Source organism: Homo sapiens, chromosome 9 (assembly GCF_000001405.40).
Source record: "Homo sapiens chromosome 9, GRCh38.p14 Primary Assembly".
Lineage (NCBI taxonomy): Eukaryota > Metazoa > Chordata > Mammalia > Primates > Hominidae > Homo > Homo sapiens.
In genome coordinates, this window is record NC_000009.12 from 126,023,575 (window position 1) to 126,033,288 (window position 9,714).

The 9,714-nt window shown below is 52.3% G+C and overlaps 3 annotated features.

Moving 5' to 3' along the window:
• Nucleotides 518-1,017: an enhancer, noted in NCBI's record as "H3K4me1 hESC enhancer chr9:128786371-128786870 (GRCh37/hg19 assembly coordinates)". NCBI's record gives its function as "activates a minimal SCP1, AML or CMV promoter by ChIP-STARR-seq in primed H9 embryonic stem cells {active_cell/tissue: H9 hESC(primed)}" and the evidence as "EXISTENCE:reporter gene assay evidence [ECO:0000049][PMID:30033119]".
• Nucleotides 6,771-7,375: an enhancer, noted in NCBI's record as "H3K27ac-H3K4me1 hESC enhancer chr9:128792624-128793228 (GRCh37/hg19 assembly coordinates)". NCBI's record gives its function as "activates a minimal SCP1, AML or CMV promoter by ChIP-STARR-seq in primed H9 embryonic stem cells {active_cell/tissue: H9 hESC(primed)}" and the evidence as "EXISTENCE:reporter gene assay evidence [ECO:0000049][PMID:30033119]".
• Nucleotides 7,376-7,980: an enhancer, noted in NCBI's record as "H3K27ac-H3K4me1 hESC enhancer chr9:128793229-128793833 (GRCh37/hg19 assembly coordinates)". NCBI's record gives its function as "activates a minimal SCP1, AML or CMV promoter by ChIP-STARR-seq in primed H9 embryonic stem cells {active_cell/tissue: H9 hESC(primed)}" and the evidence as "EXISTENCE:reporter gene assay evidence [ECO:0000049][PMID:30033119]".

A 9,714-nucleotide genomic window follows, 5' to 3' on the forward strand; every position in this document is an offset into this window, starting at 1 on the left:
AAAACAAGCTTTCGGATAAACTTTTCCTGGACAGGCTGGTTGAGTTGCGAGTTTGCGTAGACAGGAGAGGGGACGCTGAGACATACTCCTGCAAGGACGAGGGTGGCTCAAGGTGTGCTTGTTAGTACTCCCTGGCCTGAAGCAGGGCTGGGGTCTCTCCTTGGTGAAGTTGATGGCTGTGGTTTCCTAGGCGGGTCTACCTTAAAAGCCCTCAATGTCCCTGCCTGCCTTGGTTACAACTGCAGGTGCCTGGCCCATCACAGGAGCTCAATGGGTGAATGGAAAGTGATCCGTAAACTTGGGGGCCCTCCATCTCGGGGTGTGGTGTATGTGCCTGCATGCATCCATGTGTGTATGCATGTGTGCGTGCATGCATTTTTATATGTGTGTGTGCGCATGCATGTGTATGTGTGCATGCATGGATGTGTGTGCATGCATTTGTGTATGCGTGTGTGTGCATTCGTGTGTGTGTGCACGCCTGTGTGCGTGCATGCATGTGTATATGCGCATGTGCATGCATGCGTGTATGCATGCATGTAAGCATGTGTGCATGCATTTGTGTGTATGTGTGTGCACGCCTGTGTGTGCATGCGTGCATGTGTGCATGCATGTGTGTATGCGTGTGTGCATGCATGTATGTGTGTATGCGTGTGTGCATGCATCCATGTATGTGTGTGTGCGCGCATCCATGTGTGTGTGCAAGCCTTGTGCATGCATGTGTGTGTGCATGCATGTGTGTGCGTGCATGCATGTGTGTATGCATGTGTGCGTGCATTCATGTGTGTGTGAGTGTGTGCATATGTGCATGCATCCGTGTATGTGTGTGTGTGTGCGTGCAGGTGTGCAGTCTCCTTTTCCTGTTGCCTTTCTTCCCCAAGGCTGGGCTGGTGCCCGGAGGGTGGGGTCAGGCCTGGCAGTTCCACCCCGTGCCGGTGGTGACAACACAGATCCTCCCGTCTCCACCAGCATTTACTTTAATTGCCCGAAAATTGACGATAGATGCAAGGAAAATAATGAGGCCTAATTATGTTAATTAAACGGCTAATTCATTAATTAACGCACTCACATCCTTGGCTTGGAGAGCCCCTTCATGGTGGCCGGTGGGTTGGTTCGGTTCCAGCTGGGGAGGAGGGGCCCTGCCTGGGGGCCAGGGGTTGGGTTGCCCTCCTGGGCGGGGGCCACAGAAGCTGGGCTGCCAGGGGTGCCTCAGCTGCTCCTCCTTGGATACTCCCCGTTCTGAGCCCCTGGGGGCTGCTCCCTTACAGTCTGCAGTTTACAAGAGTCTGGGAAGGGGCTGGTGGGCAGAGCTGGGCCTGGGTCTGTTTTCCCCAGGAGCCTCCTGGTGACTTCTTGGTGGCCTCCCATCCCGGAGGAGGTGGTGTGGATGGGGAGAGCCCCACGGAGAGACAGTGGGCGGGTCCGTCCAATGGGGACAGCTCAGGTGGCTGCAAGACCCACAGACGGAAGGACATGTTGCCCAGGAGAGTGGGACGAGCCTGTGGCTGGGACGGTCCAGGAGCCCCTTCTGTCCTTGAGGGACCACCTGGTATCTAGACCCCTGTGGATAAGAGCAGGGTAGCAGAGGCCTGGAAGCTGTTGGCAGCTTGGCCCCTGATTTGCTGTGACCACAGAAGGGTTGACCATGGCTCACAGGACACAGACTAGCTCCTCACCATGCCTTCCCCACGGCCTGCGTGGTGGGCTGTGCCCGTGAGCAGCCCCAACTCCTGTTCTCTGCCTCCCTTTGCTCCTCTTCCTCAACCTTAAGATCTCAGCCTCCAGTCTGTCTTTGAGTCAGAAACCCTAATAGGCCCTCCCAGAACCCTGTTTTTTTGTGCGTTCACAGTCCTTGGCACCGTTTGCAATGGTAGGATTACGCGTAATCCATTCTGTTTCTCTCTCCCCAACAACCTCCTGGGCCCTGCAGAGTCCACAGAGGATCTAACTCCTTGCTGAACCCCTAGGACCTAGCTCGGAGCCTGGCATGCAGTAGGCACTCACGAGCTGTTTGGAGAAGAAATCACCCGTGAATGTCAGAGTCTGTGGCATGAGGGGCTTTGTCACCAAACCCTGCTCCCGCTACCTACCAACACCGTCACAGCCAGTACCATATCCTTCTTCTTCTTCTTCTTATTTTTTAGAACGAGTCTCGCTCTGTTGCCCAGTCTGGAGGGCAGTGGCGCGATCTCGGCTCACTGCAAGCTGCGCCTCCTGGGTTCATGCCATTCTCCTGCCTCAGCCTCCCGAGTAACTGGGACTACAGGTGCCCATCACCACACCTGGATAATTTTTTGTATTTTTAGCAGAGATGGGGTTTCACTGTGTTAGCCAGGATGGTCTCGATTTCCTGACCTCATGATCCACCCACCTCGGCCTCCCAAAGTGCTGGGATTACAGGCGTGAGCCACCACGCCCGGCCAGCCGGTACCATATTATTAAAACCATTTATCTCTGGGTCCTTGCTCAGGACCTGTGAAGTAGGGCTGAACTTCATAGTCACACACTCAGATGAATAACGATGTCACTTGAGGCCATGTGGAGAAGAGGTTATGGGTGGGGTCTCGGCGTTGAACACTGACTTCACCACTTCCAGGCTGTGTGACCTTATGTGAGTGTCTTAACCTCTCTGGGCCTCAGTGAGTGCTCCTTTCTTGCAGGTGTTGTGGGCTTCAAGTCAGACACTGTGCAGAGTGCATGGACTGGGCCTGGCAGACGCAGTGCCCAATCATTTAGCTTCTCTACTTTCTTCATTTTCCCTACTACTTTCATTTTGAACAAGACCTTATTCTTCCTGATGCCAAAAATATAATCCAGGTAAAGCTGGTCAAATTCAGGATTTCTCCGTCTGGTGGAAATGTTCATCATAGGAATAGGTTTGCTTGTCCCCCGTCCTCTTCTTGGGGCGGGTGCTAAGCTTCTTATCAAAAGCTTCCATATGTGGAACCAAGCAGACAAGGTTGATTAAAACACTGCAATCAGAAAACCTGACTGTGTGCACCAGGGCGGACTAGAAACCGCTCCTCCTGGTGTGCGTCAGGGTAGGGACTCAGATCACGCCGGACTTTATGTGTTTTTGATGCTGGTGTCATGGGTTTTTGGCTTCATTTTGATTTTTAAAAATATTGCTGAGTTTTGGATGGGACGTGGTGTCTCACCCCTGTAATCCCAGCACTTTGGGCCAAGGCGGGTGGATCACCCAAGGTCAGGAGTTCGAGATCAGTCTGGCCAACATGGTGAAACCCCGTCTCTACTAAAAATACAAAAATTAGCTAGGCGTGCTGCTCGCCTGTAATCCCAGCTACTCGGGAGGCTGAGGCAGGAGAATCTCTTGAACCCGGGCAGCAGAGGTTGCAGTGAGCCGAGATCACACCATTGCACTCCAGCCTGGGCAACAGAGCAAGACTCCATCTCAAAAAAAAAAAAAAAAAATTGCTGAGTTTTTGACACCCCTTAAATTTTGTCTCACTCTAATCCTCGCCTCCAAGGTCCTTCCTCAGCTGCTTCCCTCTTCCTCCCCTCCCCTACTCCCTTCCTCACCTACCTCCCCCAATGTCCTTGTGACCTCCTCTGATCTCCAGTTCTCACAAGAGGCTGCTAGGAGTGGGCATCCCGGTGGGACCCAGGAGGCGCCAAATTTCTCTTCTTTGGGACCCCAAACCCATCTTTTGAGGTCTTGGGTCACTTTTCTCCACTTCACCCAGGAATCTTCTTGGAGAAGAGTGGGTAGGGGAAGCAGCGTGTGGAGGACAACCAACCCCTCTCCTCTTTCCTCCAGGTTGCTCTTGCCTGCTGTCTGCCTCCACTGGGGGCACGAGTGGGGTCAGGGGATAGATGGGTGGGGAGCAAGCTGGAGAGGTGTTTTGCCTTCTCTCTTTTGCCTTCCAATCACCCCTGCTGAGTTCTTGCACCGAGGTTTGACACCAAAGCTAGGACTGTGGCATCTTACTTCTTTGGTTTCTCCATGGATGATTCCTAAAGCCAAGTAGGGCCCTCCTGGCTGGGTGCCTTGATGAGGGACAGCCAGCAGGAAACAGGCAGCATGGGCTCCAGCCCCTTCCCCCACAGCATCCCACTTCCCCTGGCACCTGGGGCCTGGCTGGAAACTCCTTCAGCTGCCCTGGAGGTGGCTTGAGGACAGAGCCTTCCCTCCAGCCAGTCGTGGCTGGGGAGACCACTCCCCAAGGTCCTTGAGGTCAGCCAACCACACATACAGGGCCTCCAAATTGCAGCCACCCAGGATCAGAGGGCGAAGGTCTTGCAGGGAGGGGAGAGGAGGGGAGCTCCGGCAGGTGCCAGGTGGAATTCAGCACCGTTTTCCAGGAGAGGGAATCGATTGCTTTATTGCTGAGACTTAATTTGAAGAAAGTGAAACTAAAGCTTCATAAGAAATATGATTATTATAAAATACTTAAGCCTCTGCCTGGGGGTCCTGAGCCCTGCTTGTCTCAGCCCTGTCTGGGATAGCAGGAACCACAATCTCACTCTCTAATTGGAATGGATTTCAAAAGTGCAATAAAAGCAACCACCTAGATGTAGGAACCTGTCGCTTGGAGCTGTCTCTGGGCAGACTTGATGAATGTGGGAATTGTACAGAGCTCTCATCTCCCGATCTCTGCCCCCCAGGCCTTCCTCCCCTCCAAGAGTTGATAGTAATAACAATGATAATAATCACAATAAAAGCAGCTGAACATTTAGTGAGCACTCACCCTACACTGAGCTCAGCCTTTGTAGGCACTGTGACCCCACGAGGAAATGTATTAGTCAGCTATGACCACAGACTGCTGCATAACAGGCAACCCCGAAAAGCAGCTGCTTAAAATAGTGATCATTTATTTCCCAGGTTGCCTGGGAGTTAGCTGATCTTTTTTTTTTTTTTTTTTTTTTTTGAGACAGAGTCTCACTCTGTCATCCAGGCTGGAGTGCAGTGACATGATCTCGGCTCACTGCAACCTCCACCTCCCAAGTTCAAGTGATTCTCCTGCCTTAGCCTCCTGAGTAGCTGAGGTTATAGGCACATGCCACCATGCCCGGCTAATTTTTGTAATTTTTTTTTTTTTGAGAAAGAGTTTTGCTCTTGTCACCCAGGCTGCAGTGCAATGGTGTGATCTCGCCTCACTGCAACCTCTGTCTCCCCGGTTCAAGCAATTCTCTTGCCTCAGCCTCCTGAGTAGCTGGGATTACAGGTGCCCACCACCATGCCCTCCTAATTTTTTTTTTTTTTTTGTATTTTTAGTAGAGACGAGATTTCACCACGTTGGCCAGGCTGGTCTCGAACTCCGACCTCAAGTGATCTGCTTGCCTCGGCCTCCCAAAGTGCTGGGATCACAGGCGTGAGCCACTGTGCCCGGCCAAGTTAGCTGTTCTTGTCTGGGCCCAGCTGGGGCAGTTAGGCTCTGATCCACGGGTTCCATCCTCTTCCTGGGACCAGCACCAGCAGGGGCACATTCTTCTCAGGTAGATGGCGGAGGCACCAGAGAGCACATGGAAACACCCGAGGCCTCTTGAGACCTAAGCCCCAAAGTGGTTCTCCTCTGTTCTTCCTCATTCTGTTGCCAAAGCAAGTCAGACCCTAAGTTTAAAGTGAAATGTGGAAACAATTCCTTGCCTAATCTTTAGCGAGAGACATGGCAAAGTCACATGCAATGAGTGCGGCTACCAGGAGAGGTGAAGAACTGGGCCCACGAATGCAATCTACCACAGGTAGGTTACCACTATTATACCCATTTTACAGATGAGGAAAATGAGGCTCTGGGAGGGAAAGCTTCTCATGCAGGGTCACAGGGCCACGGTGGAGCTGGGATTCAGAGCTAGGCCTTTGTGCTTCCTGAGTCTGTGGTCCTAGTGACCCCTTTTCCATCTGTGCTTGAGCCCACCCTGACCAGGGGAGTTTGTCAGAAACCAGCCCATTTGGGAGCCAGACACATGGCCTGGTCCTACCAGCAGCTGAGGCTCCGAGTGCCCCTGATATCCTGCCCCACCCCACCCAATTCTTTTTTTTTTTTTTTTTGAGATGGAGTCTTGCTTTGTCACCGAAGCTGGAGTGCAGTGGCTCGATCTTGGCTCACTGCAAACTCTGCCTCCCGGGTTCAAGTGATTCTTTTGCCTCAGCCTCCCGAATAGTTGGGATTACAGGCATCTGCCACCACGCCAGCTAATTTTTGTATTTTTAGTAGAGACGGGGTTTCACCATGTTAGCCAGGCTGGTCTCGAACTCCTGACCTCAGGTGATCCACCCGCCTTGGCCTCCCAAACTGCTGGGATTACAGGCGTGAGCCATTGTGTCCGGCCCCAATTCTCATTAGACCAGGAATGGACACTCCCTTGTTCAGTTTTCACTCTGCCCTCTGAGGGGAGGCCTGGTGTCCCCAACTGGTAAAGGGTGGGGCAGGATGCAAATCAAGCCCCTCAGAACTTCCCCGGTACCACGACCCCACATGTAGAACGGAAGCCTTGCTCCTAGCTCAGCCCTGCACAGGGCTGTCAACCTGAGACTCTTAATAACCTCCTCCCAACTTTCCAGCCTGCTGTGGGACCATGGCGCCTGCCTGATGGCAGAATGGTCTGCTGCCTGGGTTTCCTGCCTCCCAGCCTCCTTTGGGGGCACATCTGGGGCATATGTTACCCTCGGTGTCCTGGTCCCTCCCCTGGGGTCCCCAGGAACCTGGCCAGTAGAATCTGTGCCCAGAAACACGCAGCTGTGCGATGCTCAGGGACTCACAGACTCTCCCCACCTGACTCCTTTTAAAGCTTTTTATTCTCGATTACCCAAGTAATACGTGTTCATTGCAGGAAAATTAGAAAATACAGAAAAGCATAAAGGAAAAAAAAATCAAGTGTAACCAGTTTAGAGGCGTCTGCACTCATTAGGGGTATAAACATGAAATGATTTTATTTTTCCCAATAACTGCCACACTCTGCTCTCTCTAAACCACCCTCTCTCCCTTCCTGCTGGGTGGTGAGTCCATAAATGACATCTCAGTCCGATTCCATAATTTTCCACTTTGGGTTATTAATACTGGCTCATTCTGGCATCGAAGACTCAGTCCCATGTATTTTAAAACTCCAACCCCACATTCTATTCAAAGTTTGTCCTCCTGTCCCTTCGACCCCCGCAACACTTTTGCCTTGGGGGGCAGGCTGGTCCACAGTCTAGCAGCCTGGGGGGGGAGATGCCCCCTTTCTCCCCACTCCTTCCTGGAAGTGTCTGGCTCTGGCACTGGGGAGACAGGGCTGGTGCAGCCTCTTTGGGGCTTTTGGCTGCTGATGCAACTTGCAACTTGTCCCTGGGTGGACGGCCGTTCCACAGGGTCTCCCGGGTGAGCCAGGGACTCCCGCTGGCCTCCCTCTCAGGCCTTGCTGGCCCCTCATGATTCAGCCACACCTTGTGGTTGGCTCCCAGCTGCAGCTTCCTGCTGAGTCCTTTTGTGTAGTCCCTCTTCCCCAGGCTGCGGTAGCCCCCTCAATCCCGTGGCCCTAAAACTGCTCTGCCTTGGTGGTCCTCAGCTATTGGGCCTGGGGGCACCTGCTGCAGCTAGGCGCAGAGCTTAGGCCTGGGCACTTGGAGGTAGTCCTCGTACCCACCCCCTGGGCAAGCCCTACCCTCTCAGCCGTAAGCCCTTTTCCTGGACTCCATGCGTGCAGGGGAAGCCAGGCTGGTGGTCAGGCACTTGGCCAGGAAAACTGGTCTCCCCTTCTTGCAGGCACCTGGGCTGGAGGGGAGATGCCCTTGGACTTGGGGAGGAAGTAGCCAAACTCTCCATCTCCAAGTGGAGGAGACGGAAGGGAAGGACTGTGCCTCCCTCTCGCGCTTCTGTTACCTGTGTCTAAAGAAGGGGCTGCAGGCACGCTGAAGTGCGCTCCTGGCAGCAGGCGGTTCTGGGGTCTCTGATGCCTCCATCTCCCAAGGAGTCTCTTCTGGTGCCCTGGCCCAAGTCCTTTCACTTGGCAGAGTCCATCTAGGGGGTGACCACCCAGCAGTGAGTGGTGGTCCTCCTCTGTCTCCAGAAACCTTCTTCCCATCCCTGGGGGAATCCTTGGCAGTCCAGTTTATCCCATGTGCTGCTTTCCCCACCCTCCAGGCGGATTGGATCAGAGATGAATATCAGACCCCAAACGGGCCTGGGACAAGAGGTCTCTTCAGGGGCCAGGACCAAAGCTGGAGACCTTGGGAGTAGGGCCTTTGCGTCTCCCTGAGAGCTGGACCTCAGAAAGAGGAGGGGGAAGAGGGAAAGAGCCAGTTCTGAAGGCTGTCTAGCTTGCAGCTCTTGTCTCTCCGGGGTGCCTTGATATCCCCATGTCCCGGGGGAAAAATCCTCCTTGTGCCAGGTCAGTTAGAGAGGGTCTGTTGTTTGAAACAAGAGTTCTAACCAGTACCCAAATGCACGTGAAAGTCTATGCACCATGTTTTATTACATATGATTAAAATGGGATCATAGTTCCAACATTTCCCTAATGGTTTATTGATGTTAATAAGGATCCTGTGAAAAAATGGTTCTATACTCAAGTAAGTTTGGAAAACATTGGTTGACTGAAATAAGTCAGATTTCGTTACCGCAGGACTTCTCAGAGCCTTTAACACGTCAGTGTGCATTTGTGAGTATGCGTGTTGTATTATTCCGTTCTCATGCTGCTAATAAAGACATACCCAACACTGGGTAATTTATAAAGGAAAGAGGTTTAATGGACTCAAAGTTCCTCATGGCTGGGGAGGCCTCAAAATTGTGGCAGAAGACGAAGGAAGAGCAAAGGGACGTCTTACATGGCGGCAGACAAGAGGGCATGGGCAGGGGAACTCCCTTTTATAAAACCATCAGATCTCGTGAGAGTATTCACTATCATGAGAATGGCATGGGAAAGATCCACCCCATGATTCAGTTACCTCCCACTGGGTCCCTCCCTCAACACGTGGGAATTATGGGAGCTATAGTTTGAGATTTGGGTGGGGACACAGCCAAACCATATCACATGTAGTTTCCCATACTTATTTGATCACATAGACTCTCTGAGAACAATGTTCTGCAGATAATAGCCTAGGGAATGCTAGATAATTGTATTAGAACATGATATGTTTGCCATTTTCCTCATCATCTCTACTAATAATTACTGAATACTTGAATTATCTCCATTCCTCCAGATGAGTAAACTGAGGCCCAGATAAGTTAAAAATTTGCTGATGTCACACAGAGAGGCGAGGAAGAATGGCCTGAGCCCCCTTTGAACCCCTAGATGGTGTTACTGGTTTCTCTACTTAAACTTGGACATCATTTTTTTTTTTTTTTTTTTTTGAGACAGAGTCTCGCTTTGTTGCCCAGGCTGGAGTGCAGTGGCATGATCTCGGCTCACTGCAACCTCCTCCCCGCCGGGTTCAGGCAATTCTCCTGCCTCAGCCTCCTGAGTAGCTGGAACTACAGGCACCTACAATCATGCCTGGCTATTTTTTGTGTTTTTGTAGAGACGGGGTTTCACCGTGTTGACTAGGCTGGTCTCGAACTCCTGACCTCAGGTGATCTGCCTGCCTTGGCCTCCCAAAGTGCTGGGATTACAGGTGTGAGCCACCGTGCCAGGCCAACCTTGGACATCTTTTCCCATCTGCCAATAAGTCTTCACAAGTGGCGTATGGCAGTCCCTCTAATGCCTGTGCCCGACTTCCTGGCCTGATCCTCCTTGATGGCTCTTTTCTTGGGTTTAACTCCGCAGGTTGCATTTCCTGCAGAG